Source organism: Homo sapiens, chromosome 10, assembly GCF_000001405.40.
Source record: "Homo sapiens chromosome 10, GRCh38.p14 Primary Assembly".
NCBI lineage: Eukaryota > Metazoa > Chordata > Mammalia > Primates > Hominidae > Homo > Homo sapiens.
In genome coordinates this window covers 40,141-57,213 of record NC_000010.11, presented here as the reverse complement: position 1 = coordinate 57,213, position 17,073 = coordinate 40,141, and the positions used below count along the sequence as shown (strand labels likewise).

Here is a 17,073-nt window from a genome sequence, read left to right as displayed (position 1 = left end):
AGCCCATGAGAGCAGCTGTGGGGGCTGAACCATGCAAAGCCACAAGGTCTAAACGTCCCAAGGCATTAGTGTGCCCTGGAAATGGGACATAGAGTCAAAAATAATTATTTTAGAGCCTTAAAATTCAATAACTCCCCTTCTGGGTTTCAGACTTGCATGGGTCCTGTGGCCTCTTTCTTTTGGCTGATTTCTTCCTTTTAGAATAGGAATATTTACCCAATGCCTATGCCCCATTTTTATCTTGGAAGTACTTAATTTGGTTTTTATTTTACAGGCTTATAGGAGGAATAAACTAGCTTTGTCTTAGATGAGACTTTTGACTTTTGAGTTAAGGCTGAAATGAGTTAAGACTTCAGGGATTATTGGGATGTCATGATTGTATTTTGAAATATGAGAAGGATATGAGATTTGGAATGGCCAGGGGCAAAATGATATAGTTTAGGTGTGTGTTCCCACCAAAATCTTACATTGAAATGTAATCCTCAATGTTGGAAGTGGGCCTAGTGGGGAGGTGATTGAATCATGAGGGCAGGATTTCCATGAACAGTTTGGCATCATTTCCTTTGGAGCCATTCTCACAATAGTTAAGTTTTCATGAGACCTGGTTATCTACAAGTGCGTAGCACTTCCCCCCTGCCCTTGCACTTACCACGTGATGTGCAAGCACCGGATTTATTTTTCACCTTGATTGTCAGTTGTCAGAGGCTTCACCAGAAGCAGAAGCCAGTGCTGTGCTTTCTGTACAGCCTGTAGAACCATGAGCCAATGAAACCTATTTCCTTTATAAATTAACTAGTCACCGATTATTTTTACAGCAATGTGAGAATGGCCTAATATATCCATCAAAAAACTATTAGAAGTAATAACTTGAGTAAATTTGCATAATACAAAATCAACATGTACAAATCAGTAGGATTTCTATATGCCAACAGTCAACAAACTGGAAAAGAATTCAAAAAAGTAATCCTATTTGCAATAGCCACAAATAAAACAAAATGTGTGGGAATTTACCAAAGAAATAAAAGTTTTCAACAATTAAAAACGTAAAACACTGATAAAAGAAAGAGAAGACAAAAAAATGGAAAGTTATATCTATGTTCACAGATTGGAAGAATCAGTATTTTAAAAAATGTCCATGCGATCCAAAGCAATCTGTACTTTTCATGCCATCTGTATCAAAATAACAATGACATTCCTCACAGAAATAGAAAAAAAATCTGAAATATATATGGAACCACAAAACACCATAATAGTCAAAGCTATTCTGAGTATATAAACCAAAACTGGAGGAATCCCATTACCTGGTTTTAAATTATACTATCAAGCTATAGTAATTAAAACAGCATGACACTAGAATAAAAAGACATAAAGACAAATGGAATGAAATAGAGAACTTAGAAACAAACTCATACAGCTAAACTAAACTTATTTTGAACAAAAGTGTTGATAACATACAACAAAAAATAAGACAGTTTCTGTAATAAATAGGGCTGGGAAAACTGGCAAGCCATAGGCAGAAGAGTGAAACTGGAACCCTATTTCTTGCCACATACAAAAATCAAATTAAAATAAATTAAAAACTTAAACCTAACACCTCAAACTATCAAAATTTTACAAGAAAACACTGGGGAAACCCTTTAGGGCATGGTTTGAGCAAAAATTTCTTAAATAATGCCCCATAAGCACAGACAACCAAAGCAAACATGGACAAATGGAATTACAGCAGGTCAGAAAGCTTTTTTAAAGTGAAGGAAACAAAGTGAAGAGAAAACCCACAGAATGGGAGAAAATATTTGTGAATTACCTATCTGAAAAGCAATTAATAGCGATGTGATATGGTTAGCCTTTGTGTCCCCACCCAAATCTCATATTGAATTGTAATCCCCAGGTGTTGAGGGAGAGACCTGGTAGAAGGTGATTGGATCATGGGGTTGGTTCCCTCCAGGTTGTTCTTCTGACAATGAGTGAGTTCTCATGAGATCTGATGTTTTTATAAGGGGCTCTTCCCCCTTTGCTTCACATATATGCTCTCTCGCCTGCTGTCATGGAAGAGGTGCCTGCTTCCTCGTCCGCCATGACTGTAAGTTTCCTGAGGCCTCCCCAGCCATGTGGAACTGTGACTCAGTTAAATCTATTTCCTTTATAAATTACCCAGTCTCGCCAGGCGCAGTGGCTTATGCTTGTAATCCCAGCACTTTGGGAGGCAGCGGTGGGTGGATCACGAGGTCAGGAGTTCAAGACCAGCCTGGCCAAGATGGTGAAACGCCGTCTCTACTAAAAATACAAAACTTAGCTGGGCATCATGTCAGGTGCCTGTAATCCCAGCTACTCAAGAGGCTGAGGCAGAGAATTGCTTGAACCCAGGAGGTGGAGGTTGCAGTGAACCGAGATCATACCAATGCACTCCAGCCTGGGTGACAGAGCAAGACTTCATCTCAATACATAAATAGATAAATAACCCAGTCTCAGTTTTTTTATAGCAGTGCAGAAACAGACTAATACACTACAATATATTGAGTTCAAAACATTCTATAGAAAAAAATATAATAAAAGAGTGGACAAAAATTTAATTGGACATTTATGAAAATAAGACATACAAGTGGCAAATAGGCAAATAAAAAGGTGCTCCACATTACTGATCATCATAGAAATGCAAATCAAACCCAAAATGAGATATCATTTCACCTCAGTTAAGGTGGCTTTTATCCAGAAGTCAGTCAAAAACAAATGTTGCTAATAGCCAAGATTTGGAAGAAACCTAAATGTCCATCAACAGATGACTGGATAGAGAAAATGTGGTACATATACACAATGGAGTACTATTCAGCTATAAGAAAGAATGAGAGTCTGTCATTTGCAGTAACAGAAATGGAACTGAAAGTTTTTATGTTAAGTGAAATAAGTCAGGCACAGAAAGACAAATGTCACATGTTCTCACTCGTTTGTGGGCGCTAAAATTCAAAACAATTGATGTCATAGAGATAGAGAGTATAAGGTTGGTTACCAGAGGCTGGGAAGGGCAGTGGGGGAACGGGGTTAGTGGGGATGTGAAATGGGTACAAAAAATTGTTAGAAAGAATGAATAAGACAGTATTTGGTAGCAGAACAGGGTGATTATGGTAAAAAAATAATTTATACATTTTATAAAAACTAAAATAGTATAATTGGATTGTTTATAAAACAAGCTATAAATGCTTGAGGGGATGGATACCCTGTTTTTTATTGTGTATTACTGATTGCATGCCTGTATCAAAGTATGTCATGTACCCCCATAAATATATACACCAACTATGTACCCACAAAAATTAATTAAAAATTACAATTAAAACCAAAAGGAGGAGAGTCTAATGAGGCAGGTGTGACCCATGGCTTGAAGTAGCTTTTCAGGTTAACTTTGGAATGTCCTTATCCAAGAAGAGGTGTCCATTTAGTCAATAGGGGCTTAGAAATTAATTTTTAGTTTATAAGTGGAAAAAAGAAGAATTTTTAATCCTGAGCCATAGCTCTCAGTCAGTCAGTCCCTGCAGGGAACCCTGTTCTTTACTCTGGAGATAAACACTGTTTTTCTTTTCCACTGAATAACACCACATTTCAAAATGAGGGGAAACATCTTGAAACTAAGAGGTATGGCCTTACTAAATTTGTTTTGGTTTCCATTGTAATTAATTTAATCACATGTGTTCTAGAGTTTGTCCTCAGTCTTCTACTTTAGGCTCATGATCTGTTGAATTTGCTCAGCTCCCTGCTCAACAGCAGGAAATCAGAATTATTTAAAAGCCTCATTGTGGCTGGGAGCAGTGGCTCATGCCTGTAATCCCAGCAATTTGGGAGGCCAAGGTGGGCAGATCACTTGTTGTCAGGGGTTTGAGACCAGCCCGGCCAACAGAGTGAAACCCCATTTCTACTAAAGATACAAAAATTAGCTGGGTGTGGTGATTCATGCCTGTAATCCCAGCTACTTGGGAGGCTGAGGCAGGAGAATCACTTGAACCTGGGAGGCAGACGTTTCAGTAAGGCAAGATGGTGCACTGCACTCCAGCCTGGGCAACAGACCAAGACTCTGTCTCAAAATAATAATAATAAATAAAAATAAAAATCTCATGTTTCAAACAAAATTTCTTTTGCATATCAACTGTGTCAACTTGCATATTAACTATAATCATTTTGTTTACTTTATGTCCAATCCTGAGAAATCTTTGAGTACTAATTTCACTCTTTTCTGCCATTTTGGTAAACATACCAAATGCCATCAAACAAAATGCACAAAATTCCTGAGAAATACATTTTCTCCTTGAGGAGTATACTTGTTGTGTTAGAGGAACTCGTGGTTACCAAGCTTCTAGTTTAATACACATGACTAGAATTCTCTATCTTAATATGAGTAGCTAGGTACTCACAAGGCATCTAGAAGGTTAATACCTATGGTCTGAAAATAGCCACATTTTTTTACTGGCCACAGATTACAATTGCAGAATATTTATGGCCATACAAGACATCTTCCACCAAGCCTGAAAAATGTATAAATGTCCTAGGAGTGCAGCATTTTTTGTTAAAGATAATATTAACGAGCTAGCTTAGGTCAACGGGTTAATGGTCATTGTTAAAACGAATAGCCCCGACTTTAATGAGTACATCTGCACCTTCCAAGTTTAATTATAACTCTTTCTCTTTATAGTTAGAGACACTAACAAAAGACAATGCATTCCTGCTCTTGTTTTCTGAGGATGTCCAACTCTGTAATGGAGTCATTTCTAATAAACTTGCTTCTTTCACTGTGCTCTCTGACTCACCTCAAATTTTTTACTGCACAAGATCTAAGAATCCTACTTTGTGGTCTGTGTCAGGACCCTCTTTTCTAGCAACATCTTTCAGCAACACCATGAAGGGACACCAAGACAAGACCCCCACTCCAAGGAAAACAATCCACATAGAATCATTTAGCTGGCAAGTGGGCTGTGTTTTAGGGTCATGAAGCCATTCAGGTTGGCAAGAATGATTACCCACTATTACTTAAGTGAGAGGCCCTAGGGTATAATATTAGGGTGAGAGACTCAGCCCAAAGTAGAGACCTGGGGGTGTCATACTCAGATTAGAGGCCAAGCCCACAGGGTTAGAGGCCCTGGGGAACATTGAGAAGAATGGATTTGGCTAAACAAGATGTTTGCCACTTTCTCTTTTTGGACTGTCCACCTTGTGCTCTTTGTCCCTCACCTGAGTGCTCTGCATATTGTTGCCTTTCTGCTCACCGCCTCCGTTTTGCAGTAGCCTGGAGGCAGCCCCAGGAAAGAGGCCCCAAACAGTTTAGCTTTTACTTTCCTTAGCGATCCTCTGACTTTTAGCCTTGATGTCTTAGAGCTATTGCTGCTACCACTTTTCTAGTTGGCAAAGATAATAAACTAACATTAGAACAGCACCTACAGGTTTTTGACCCCACACCAAGGGAAGGTGGTCCTAGAAGGTAAAGGGCAGCAGTGGATAATAGGAGAATATTTATGAAAGTGTCAGGACTTATTGCTAGACCGACCCTCCAGACACAACCCTTAAAGCCTGCCAAGCCATAAACCCAGCTACTTAGCTGTCAGAGTCCACAGGTGCTTCTAGTCTTTCTGGCATACAGGCTGTATTAGTCTGTTCTTATGCTGCTAATAAAGACATATCTGAGGCTGGGTAATTTATAAAGAAAAGAGGTTTAATTGACTCACAGTTGCACATGGTCGGAGAGGCCTCACACTCATGGCAGAAGGCAGGTGAGGAACAAAGTTACATCTTCTACATGGCAGCAGGCAAAAGAGCTTGTGTAGGGAAACTCCCCTTTGTAAAATCATCAGCTGTAATCCCAGCACTTTGGGAGTCCAAGGCAGTGGATGACCTGAGGTGAGGAGATTGAGGCCAGCCTGGCCGACATGGTGAAACCTCGTCTATACTAAAAGTAGAAAAATTAGACAGGCATGGTGGTGGGCGCCTGTAATCCCAGCCACTCGGGAGGCTGAGACAGGAATCGCTTGAACCCAGCAGTCAGAGGTTGCACTCCAGCCTGAGCAACAGAGCAAGACTCTGTCTCAAAAATAAATAAATAAATAAACCATCAGATCTCATGAGGCTTATTCACTGTCATGAGAACAGCATGGGAAAGACCCATCCCCTGATTCAATTACCTCCCACTGGGTCCCTCCCACAATATATGGGAATTAGGGGAGCTACAATTCAAGATAAGATTTGACTGGGGACACAGCCAAAGCATGTCACAGGTTATGAAACAAATTGATTCTAGCAGGCCAGACATAAGAGAGATGATTCCCTGGACCATCCCAAGGAAGAGTGGTTAACAGATGCAAGTTGTTTTATGCATCAGGAAAACAGGAGGGCTAAATATGCTATTATTAGCACAAGAGAATCAATCAAGGCACAAGCCTTGCTGGCTTCGACCTCAGCAGCTCAAAAAGCTGAGTTAATTGAACTAACTAGGCCCCTGCAGTTGGGAAAGAATTTAAAAGTTAACATTTACACTGATTCCAAGTATGATTTTTTAGTGCTTCATGCTTATGCTGCAATTTGGAATGGGTGGGGACTCCTGACCCCCAAGGGCTTTTCCATACAACATCGTTCAGATTTTGAGCTTGTTAGAGTGCTGCTTTGCTGCCAAAAAGTGAGTATAATTAATTGCAGAGGACATCAAAAGAGAGACTGACCATGTAAAAGGAAATGCCCTTGTAGATGCCACAGCCAAGGCCCCTGCACTGAAAGGGCCAATGAAGCTTGTGGGCGTGCTGGTCAGCATACATAGAACTGGGCCAGAATACCCTGAAGAAGAACGAAAATGGGCCAGGGATTGCATTTCAGTCCAGGGCCCCTCGGGCTGAATGATGGTAATAAATTACTAATGCCAAGTACCAATCACAGGAGTATAACTCAGCACTTTCATGATTCTTTTCACCCTAGAAGGGATTCTTTGTTTCTGTTAATGTCTCATTTGTTTATAGGGGTAAATCTTTTCAAGACACTAAAACAGGTGACTCAGCCCTGTGAGCTTTGTGCCTGACATGACTCAAATGGCCAGCAATTTTCTCCTTCTCCAGTTAAACCTGTCCAAAATTGAGGAACCTATCCAGGTGAGAACTGGCCACTCTAATTTACCCGGAAGCCTTTCTGCAGGAGATTCAAATATTTGCTAATGCTTACTGACACCTTCACTGGTTAGATCGAGGCATTCCCCACCCCATCTGAAAAATGTTTACCAGAAGAAATAACTCCTCAGTTTGGGTAATCCAAAAGCCTGCAAAGTGACAATGGCCCATCTTTCACAGCAGGCGTATCCCAAAACCTGTCCTCAGCTTTAAGAATCCAATATGACCTTCACTCTGCTGGAGACCACAGTCCTCTGGAAAGGTGAAAGGGCTAACCCTACTCTAAAGAAGACTCCAGCTAAATCAGAGGCCTGACTGTCTCTAACACCCATAGCTTATTGTGGGTTAGAACTGCTCCAAAGTAAAACGTATAATTGAGTCCTGTTGAGTTCACATGTGGAAGGCCTTTCCTAACCACAGATCTCCTAATAGATGAAAAGACTCATCAATTACAAAAATATGTCATCAATCTAGGACAGGTGCAAAGGCACTCCGTGCATATGGAAACAAGAGTCTTCCCCTCCCACATGGGAGGAAAATTCAGTTTCAGCTCAGCTAGGGATTTAGTCTTACTAAAGACGCGGGAGGAAGTTCTCCAGCGAGCAGCTTTCCCCAACGTGGAAAGGACCACGCAAGGACACCTGAGCTTTCCAACAGATGTTCAGCGCCAGGGGATCCACAGGTGGGTGCACCTGTGTGGAAGTAAAGCTGTTGCTTATTCTGGGAGCCGAATCCGAGGCGGAGGGAGGTGGGCGCGGGGCTATTTAAACGTTGGCGGAGGGCGGGCTGGGTCGCTGCGCGTCTGCTCCTCCTTCTCACGTTTCTCCTGCCGTCCTAATCCCGCCTTGGCCATGAGGGAGATCGTGCTCACGCAGATCGGGCAGTGCGGGAATCAGATCGGCGCCAAGGTTGGCAGCCGGGGCTCTGAGGGCCTAGCCCGGGCCTGCCGGGTGGCCGGGGAAGGTGTTGGCAGTGGCGGGGGCGGTGCCCATGCATTGCGGCCCCTGGGCTCCCTGCCGGGGACGGTGGAACCGGGTGGCTGGCGAGGCGGCCGGGGTGGACCCCAGGGACAGGGCGGCCTAGGGATGGGGGTGCGGATGAGGGTGGGGGTGGGAGAGCGGCTGGGGCGCCTCCCTGACTCAGCCCCGGCCTGTCTGTCTCCTCCCGTCTCTTGCAGTTCTGGGAGGTGATCTCTGATGAACATGCCATCGACTCCGCTGGCACCTACCACGGGGACAGCCACCTGCAGCTGGAGCGCATCAACGTGTACTACAACGAGGCCAGCGGTGAGACCCCCGTCCTTCCCCCACCGCCCTCCTGGGAACGCGGCCCTCCCCTCGCTCATGCCCTCCCGCCCCACGCAGGTGGCAGGTACGTGCCCCGCGCTGTGCTCGTGGATCTGGAGCCGGGCACCATGGACTCTGTGCGCTCGGGGCCCTTCGGGCAGGTCTTCAGGCCAGACAACTTCATCTTCGGTGAGCTGCGGGCGAGGACTGGGGTGCGGCTCCTTAGCCAGGGCAGCTCAAAATCCAGGAGTGTGCTAAGGTCATCCTCTGGGAACTGTGGAGCTAGGGCCCCTGAACACCCTCCTATCCTCCGAGTCGAGTCGCTCAATCTGCCTCTCCTAAATGGGCTTCGGGAGGAAGGCCCTGGTGTCTCCTCAAGGTGAGGAGTTACTGATGTAAACTCCCTGCAAGAACCTGAGCTGGGGCCGTGGCTACTGCCTTTCCTGAGAATGGGCAGGAGCCACCTGCAGCGAGGTCTGTGAACCCGTCTCAGGTTTGACTCCTGTCTTAATTCCTAACAGGGGAAGCTGCTGTCCTGTAACTCTGGGGGAGGGGGTTTCATCTGCTCCACCTGCAGGGCGAACGGTGCTCTCACCTCACGTGTGACGCTTGGCTCTTTCTGCATTATGGTGGTGACCACTGATGACCGTATACCTGGCCGTCGAGTGACCGGCTGTGCTGTCTTACAGGTCAGTGTGGGGCCGGAAACAACTGGGCCAAGGGACACTACACCGAAGGCGCGGAGCTGATGGAGTCAGTGATGGACGTTGTCAGAAAGGAGGCTGAGAGCTGTGACTGCCTGCAGGGTTTCCAGCTGACCCACTCCCTGGGTGGGGGGACTGGGTCTGGGATGGGTACCCTTCTGCTCAGTAAGATCCGGGAGGAGTACCCAGACAGGATCATAAACACATTCAGCATCCTGCCCTCGCCCAAGGTGTCGGACACCGTGGTGGAGCCCTACAACGCCACCCTCTCAGTCCACCAGCTCATAGAAAACGCAGATGAGACCTTTTGCATAGATAACGAAGCTCTGTATGACATATGTTCCAAGACCCTAAAACTGCCCACACCCACCTATGGTGACCTGAACCACCTGGTGTCTGCTACCATGAGTGGGGTCACCACGTGCCTGCGCTTCCCGGGCCAGCTGAATGCTGACCTGCGGAAGCTGGCCGTGAACATGGTCCCGTTTCCCCGGCTGCATTTCTTCATGCCCGGCTTTGCCCCACTGACCAGCCGGGGCAGCCAGCAGTACCGGGCCTTGACTGTGGCTGAGCTTACCCAGCAGATGTTTGATGCTAAGAACATGATGGCTGCCTGTGACCCCCGTCACGGCCGCTACCTAACGGCGGCTGCCATTTTCAGGGGTCGCATGCCCATGAGGGAGGTGGATGAACAAATGTTCAACATTCAAGATAAGAACAGCAGTTACTTTGCTGACTGGCTCCCCAACAACGTAAAAACAGCCGTCTGTGACATCCCACCCCGGGGGCTAAAAATGTCAGCCACCTTCATTGGGAATAATACGGCCATCCAGGAACTCTTCAAGCGTGTCTCAGAGCAGTTTACAGCAATGTTCAGGCGCAAGGCCTTCCTCCACTGGTACACGGGCGAGGGCATGGATGAGATGGAATTCACCGAGGCCGAGAGCAACATGAACGACCTGGTGTCTGAATATCAGCAATATCAGGATGCCACGGCCGAGGAGGAGGAGGATGAGGAGTATGCCGAGGAGGAGGTGGCCTAGAACTCTCCTTTTCTAGGTAAAGGGGGGAAGCAGTGTGGATTCTTTACTGTGTTCTGACAGCCATGTGTCACTATACGCTTGTTAATTTGTGTCTTCACATCTCCTGCTGCGTTTTAAAGCATTTTTATAGTATGCGGTTTTGACTAATAAAGTATTCTCACAGCATCTGGTTTTGCCTCCATCTTCTTTCTATGGGCCCTCTGGCTACTGCTGCCAGATGCGCATAGTTGTCCTGCAAGGCGGAAGCTGTCTGGGTTCATCACATGCCCAGGAACAAGCATTCCAGTGGCTCCAGGAGGGGTCGGTATGGGCTGTGGACATGGCAGGCAGGCTTCACATGAACTTGGGGATGCCCTGGGCCTTGGGCAGTGACGTGGTGGAAAACCTGTTGCTGAAGGCAAGCCTTGGCTTATCCCATATACCAAACTTCTAGGGGACCAGCTGGCCATGTTTCTGGAACGTTAAAAGGGGTCAGTGACCCTGGTGGACAATGTCCCCAGAGTCCCATCTCAGGGTAGGAATGTGGTCAGAGCTGGCTCTGAACCAGCAATGAAGGGTGGGCAAGTGGGACCCCAGGCACTCCATCATCACGATGGCCTGGGTGTGTTTGTGTGGCCTCATTCTCTTAATGAGGTGGGCATGGGATGTCTGGCAGGGACTAGGCAGGAATCAAGCCCAGTGTCTGCTAACATGCACTGAATCCCAAGTAGAAGGGGATTAGGTCCTGGGGGCCGTAGATGGTGGTTGCTGGGCCTGTGTGCGCAGGGCAGTCCCTCCAAAGGCACAGATGGGGTTTCTGAACAGGAGCTGGGGAGACAGGCAGGTGCTCACAAATACTGCTTCCCCCAACTGGCAACCAGTGAGAAAAATGCCTGAGTGGAGGTCTGACCTGCCCCAGTCTGGAGGGCTGATGCTCTCTGGAAAGGTGGCTAATGTGTACTGTCTGCTCTCTCCCTGTCCCCCACTCCAAAACTTCAGGGCAAAAATAATCCAAGATTGTCAGGATGAGCCTGGTGAGGGTGGCACCTTTGGGGACAGACCCTTCAGCCTGGCAGAGTCTCCTCCCCTGGCTTCTTGGGGAGCCTGGACTGCAAAGCCTGCTTTGGGGAAGCTGTCAAATGAGAGATGTGTGAGCTGGGTGCTGGGACGCATGCACGGACAGTGTTCTCCCTGGCTCTTGTAGAACTTGTCCACGGCCTGTGTGATGGTCTCCTGGTAATTCCCACCCCCACCCCCAGCCCTATCGCACAGATAAGATGAAGCCAGCATAGCCTTGGGGGTGGGCAGATGAACAGGCTCTACCCCAGGTCCCCTGGGAATGCCCATCTGCCTCCTACGTGTCAGGGAAAACAGGTGAGGCCCCTTCTTGTTCTCTGAATGTTGTCAATGGTCTATTGCAGCCAAATGGGAACAGGCAGGCAGGAGAGTCTCATCTCGAAAGAAGTGGCTCCTGGAAGCAGCTGGGAGGTGGGAGAGGTCCCCCATACTCCCCCATACTCCCCCACACTCCCCCATACTCGCCCAACCTGTTCTAAGAGCAGGAAAAGGGGCCTCTGTGACAGCCCTCCTCAGTGGCTCTCACTGTCTGAGGGGTGTCCTTGCCCAACCCAGGTGCACACCCATCTGAGATGGTCTCGCATGGACCTGGTTAGGAAGGTTCAGCTGCAGCAACCACTGGAACCTGCCCACACCTGGTGTCTCCACTCACGTGTGGGGCTAGATGTTCCTCCCTCCTGTAGTGGTACAGCCAGACTGGCAGAGGGGGCAAGTCACCACTGCAGTTCCCACCTGGGTCTGAGGGGGGTTCAGGCTTGGTGCCCATGTATTTCCCAATTACCTGGTTCCATCTGGGGGCTTCATGGACAGGAATGGTGCTTTTCCAGGCCTCTTTTCCACATGCCAGCTACAGGCCCAGGTTTCCCAAGTTTCTGGAGCCCCTCTTCCAGCCTGGCAAGCAAGGCGTGTTGTAGGGGAAAGACATCAAGCCTACAGGCAGCAGAACCTGTCTGGGTATATTCTCTCAACCTGGAGGCCCCTGGTTGTTTACCTCTTTGGGTGAGAGTCGGCTTAGGATCTCAACATTCTTGTAGGACTTCAGAACTGTACAGACAGGGGCCCAGGAGGGAACAGGGGCTGGGACTGGCAGCTAACCAGAGTGGTGGGGGTTGTAGGGCTCAGTTTGGTCTTGCAGGGAATTCAGGGAGGCTTGGATTTGCTGAAGCTCTAGAAGAGCTTGGGCTTGGATACGGAAACAGCATAGAGCAGGGGCCCTTCTGCACACTGGACTCTGAGTAGTTGCACCCTGGTGCATCCATAGGTGTTCCCCACCTGGAACACAGCTTTGGATAGAAGCCAGGAGAGCTGTGGAGGGAAGAGGAGGAGGAGGAGGGAGTCTCAGGACAGCCCCAGCATCCAGGCAGGGCCTCTGCAAGTTAGATGCAGATCCAGCCTGTTGGCCACTTAGCAGCTGCTTGGTTGGCTGCAGATCACCTGACCTCTGTTCACCAGTAAATGGGGGTTGCAGCAGCACTTACCTTCTGGGACTCCTGCAGCTTGAAGGGGCAGCACACACCACGTGCTGAGAAAGCGCCGAACTCAAGCAAGCTTCTCCAAGAGCACCACATCAGATTAACACCCAACCTGTACAGGACACCATCAAATCTCCCCACTCCTCATTCCAATGGAAGAAAAGGGAGTCTCTGTCCTAGGGGAGCAAGCACAGGCCTATCTATGCAGTGGGCACATGGCCCAGGTGGGGGAAAGGCCCTTGGATACGTGCTGGTTTCACCAACCATGCGTGGATTGGGTTTGGCCTGGACCCCTGTACCCCAGGAGGCCGGCAGCCCCCTGCATGGGAGAGGACTGGGAGGTGGGTGGGAGGGCTGAGCTTTGAGGGAAGCCATTATTTGGCCTCATGGGAAGTGGTGCAGGTGGTTGTTGGTGGCTCAGTTCTGCAGGACCTGGGTGATCACCCAAGGAGTGAAAATTGCCTTTTTATGAGAAATTGCCAAAATTGATGTAAGCTCATCAGTTGAAAAGGTGAGTAATGCTGACAGTTGGCTTCACCTGCCCCTTCCCCACAAGTAACTAGTGTTCAGAGGTGGATTTGGTTCCTTCCAAGCCTTTCCCATTTGCATATAGCTGTGTGCATGTACTTTTGTGTGTACACATACACGTTCCCTGGAGGGGTTACTTTTATTTTTTTATTTGGGGGGATAACTAGTGAGGCAGCCTGACACTTGCTGATCTTGTCTTTTAAGTGTGGAGTCCTCTATGGAGTGGGCATCAGGTACTTCCTAGCTGGCCTCTGCCAGCTGTTTGGCTGCCCCAGTTTCTGCCCTTCACAGACATGCCGGCCACCTGCTGTGACATTCAGTGGCCTTGTTTGCAGCTAGTGTGATGAGACAAGTGGATCAGGTACATTATAAACTGAAAAAGCACACAACATGCAGAGGGAAAGGATAAATGACCATGTGTGTACTGCTCTGCTGAAGTCCACATCACATGACTGAGATGACAAACATTTTTTCACCTAACATTTGGGCCCTGAGAAATGGCATCTATGTTTTACTTTTTATTTATGACAGAGTTAGAAGAAATACTACCAGGCTTTCTTTTCCATTTTCCCCAACTCCCACTTTACCCCCTCAATTTTACCTACCTCAGAGAGAAAGTGGAGCTCGCCTGGTTAATGACAGCCTGAAATTATTTGAGCCAGGTCACTGTGTAAAGGTCATACTGCTTCCGTTTCCTTGTGCATCACTTGCGCAGCTCACGTATTTCATAGCTCCCTGTATACAGGTAGATGTGTTGCCCTCCTAGCCGCTTTCTTGGTTTGATACATGCCTGAGATCATGTGGGAGCACTTAAGGTCTAGGCTCATGGGAAGACAGTTCTGCCCACCCCAGCTCATCTCTCCAGCTCAGCCTGCATGCCTGCCTTCCTCCATCTGATTCCAGAGTGGGGGATGGGAGGTCTCACACTGATCTCAAGTTTATGTGACTTTTTCCACCTCTGCTTTCCCAGACAGCCCTTGCTGTGGGACTTGTAAGGAGATTTGTGAAGTCAGTATCTACTTTTCTTGTGTGGGAGTTTTATAAATTAGAGCCCTGTAGGGGAATAAATGTTAGAGGTACTCCAAACCCCTAACATATAAATATCTAAGCCTGGCCCTTTTTTGGTGGTAAAATATATACAACATAAAACTTACCATTTTAACCATGTTTAAACGTACAGTTGAGTGGTCCAATATAATGTGTTGTACAACCATCTCCTTTATCCATATCTACAACTTCTTTTTCATCCTAAACTGAAACACCAAACCCATAAATAAGTCTTTGAATAGAAGACTGATGCATTTGACTCCATAAAAATTAAAACTTTATAGGCAAGAAAAATGCATCAAAGTCAAAAGTCAACAGACTGGGGAAACAGATCTGCAACATACATGACAGACAAAAAGCTAATTTGTGTAATATATATGTATATATATAGCTATATAGCTATCCTAAATTATTAAAAGACCAACAGCCAAATTGAAAAATGGACAAGGGACGTAAAGAAACAGTTCAAAGAAACATGTAGATTTTTAAATATTTGCTAATTTTTTTTCTGTGGTGAAATATGTATAAGAGAAAATTTAAGTACATTAAGTAGAAATACATTGTTGTGCAACTATCACCAGTATCCATTCCAAACCTGTGTTATCATCCCAAAGTGAAACTCTGTATCCACGGAACAATAGCTCCCCTTTCCCTTCCCCCCATCCCCTGGAAACCACATCCTACTTTCTGTGTCTATGAATTTAACTGCTCTAGGTACACTATAAAAGTGGAAAGCATGGAGTATTTGCATTTTTTTGTTTTAATGTTTTCAAGGTTTATGTTGTAGCATGTATTAGAATTTCTTTTCTTTTTAAGGCTGAATAATATTGTGTGTATCAATCATATTTGCTTATCCATTCATCTGTAGATGGAGATTTGGGCTTTTTCTACCCTTTGGCTCTTGTGAATGCTGCTATAAACATGGGTGTACAAATTCCCACTTTCAGTTTTTTGGGGTATATACCCAGATGTGGGATTACTGGATCATATGGTGATTACTGTTTTCCACAGTGGCTGTGCCATCTTACTTTCCCACCAGCAGTGTGCAGGAGTCCTGACTTCTCCACATCCAGCATTTGCTGTTCTCTGGGGCTTTGTTGTTTTGCTTTGCTGGTGGGGTTTTTTTGATGGCAGCTATGCTTACATGTGTCAGTTGGTATTGCATTGTGGTTTGGATTTACTTTTTTCTCATGATTAGTGATGCTGAGCACCTTATCCTGTGCTTACTGGTCATTTGCATATCTTCTTTAGAGAAATGTGTATTTTAAAACCTTTGCTCATGTTTAAATTTGATTGTTTTGTTGTTGTTGCTGAGGTCTTTATATAGCCCGGATATTAATTACTTACCAAATACATAATGTGTGAATATTTTCTTTCCCTTCATGAATTTATTTTTAATCTATTTTTTTAATTTTTAAAAATTTATTTATTTATTTATTATTTTTTATGTTATATATATATTTTTTCTTTTATTATTATACTTTAAGTTTTAGGGTACATGTGCACATTGTGCAGGTTATTTACATATGTATACATGTGCCACGCTGGTGCACTGCACCCACTAACTGGTCATCTAGCATTAGGTATATCTCCCAATGCTATCCCTCCCCCCTCCCCCCACCCCACAACAGTCCCCAGAGTGTGATGTTCCCCTTCCTGTGTCCATGTGATCTCATTGTTCAATTCCCACCTATGAGTGAGAATATGCGGTGTTTGGTTTTTTGTTCTTGCGATAGTTTACTGAGAATGATGATTTCCAGTTTCATCCATGTCCCTACAAAGGACATGAACTCATCATTTTTTATGGCTGCATAGTATTCCATGGTGTATATGTGCCACATTTTCTTAATCCAGTTTATCATTGTTGGACATTTGCGTTGGTTCCAAGTCTTTGCTATTGTGAATAGTGCCGCAATAAACATACGTGTGCATGTGTCTTTATAGCAGCATGATTTACAGTCCTTTGGGTATATACCCAGTAATGGGATGGCTGGGTCAAATGGTATTTCTAGTTCTAGATCCCTGAGGAATCGCCACACTGACTTCCACAATGGTTGAACTAGTTGACAGTCCCACCAACAGTGTAAAAGTGTTCCTATTTCTCCACATCCTCTCCAGCACCTGTTGTTTCCTGACTTTTTAATGATTGCCATTCTAACTGGTGTGAGATGGTATCTCATTGTGGTTTTGATTTGCATTTCTCTGATGGCCAGTGATGATGAGCATTTTTTCATGTGTTTTTTGGCTGCATAAATGTCTTCTTTTGAGAAGTGTCTGTTTGTGTCCTTTGCCCACTTTTTGATGGGGTTGTTTGTTTTTTTCTTGTAAATTGGTTTGAGTTCATTGTAGATTCTGGATATTAGCCCTTTGTCAGATGAGTAGGTTGCAAAAATTTTCTCCCATTTTGTAGGTTGCCTGTTCACTCTGATGGTAGTTTCTTTTGCTGTACAGAAGCTGTTTAGTTTAATTAGATCCCATTTGTCAATTTTGGCTTTTGTTGCCATTGCTTTTGGTGTTTTAGACATGAAGTCCTTGCCCATGCCTATGTCCTGAATGGTATTGCCTAGGTTTTCTTCTAGGGTTTTTATGGTTTTAGGTCTAACGTTTAAGTCTTTAATCCATCTTGAATTGATTTTTGTATAAGGTGTAAGGAAGGAATCCAGTTTCAGCTTTCTACATATGGCTAGCCAGTTTTGCCAGCATCATTTATTAAATAGGGAATCCTTTCCCCATTGCTTGTTTTTCTCAGGTTTGTCAAAGATCAGATAGTTGTAGATATGCGGCATTATTTCTGAGGGCTCTGTTATGTTCCA

General features: G+C 45.6%; 1 protein-coding gene and 1 long non-coding RNA gene across 7 annotated transcripts in view, besides 1 other annotated feature; one reads left to right on the top strand and one right to left on the bottom strand.

Annotated features, from left to right (window-relative positions):
* The window catches only part of TUBB8 (tubulin beta 8 class VIII), a 30,167-nt gene extending 19,408 nt beyond the window's left edge, over positions 1 to 10,759 (top strand). Inside the window, exons 2-5 of one of the 5 annotated variants that reach the window (NM_001389618.1) lie at positions 7,305 to 7,806; positions 8,302 to 8,410; positions 8,489 to 8,599; positions 9,100 to 10,322. In NM_001389618.1, coding sequence (NP_001376547.1) covers positions 8,539 to 8,599; positions 9,100 to 10,157 — 1,119 coding nt within the window. In that variant the 5' untranslated portion in view covers positions 7,305 to 7,806; positions 8,302 to 8,410; positions 8,489 to 8,538 and the 3' untranslated portion in view covers positions 10,158 to 10,322. Of the gene's footprint in view, positions 1 to 6,980; positions 7,807 to 7,917; positions 8,033 to 8,301; positions 8,411 to 8,488; positions 8,600 to 8,755; positions 8,790 to 8,931 lie in introns of those variants that run through there. The other 4 variants (NM_001389619.1, NM_177987.3, XM_047425177.1 and 1 more) reach the window with 4 other exon arrangements.
* Positions 9,847 to 9,994: a silencer, noted in NCBI's record as "fragment chr10:93160-93307 (GRCh37/hg19 assembly coordinates)". NCBI's record gives its function as "represses an EF-1alpha promoter that drives an FKBP-Casp9 reporter gene in an ReSE screen in phorbol 12-myristate 13-acetate-treated (for megakaryocytic differentiation) K562 erythroleukemia cells {active_cell/tissue: K562(+PMA)}" and the evidence as "EXISTENCE:reporter gene assay evidence [ECO:0000049][PMID:32094911]".
* On the bottom strand, positions 12,369 to 14,688 carry LOC124902360 (uncharacterized). 2 transcript variants are annotated; one of them, XR_007062023.1, is made up of 3 exons: positions 14,368 to 14,688; positions 13,819 to 14,003; positions 12,369 to 12,797 (listed from the first exon to the last, which is right to left on the bottom strand). It is a non-coding gene; the product is annotated as an uncharacterized LOC124902360 (long non-coding RNA). The 2 variants fall into 2 exon arrangements; XR_007062024.1 differs by lacking the exon at positions 12,369 to 12,797 and adding an exon at positions 13,509 to 13,586.
* Positions 14,689 to 17,073: the final 2,385 nt, after the last annotated feature.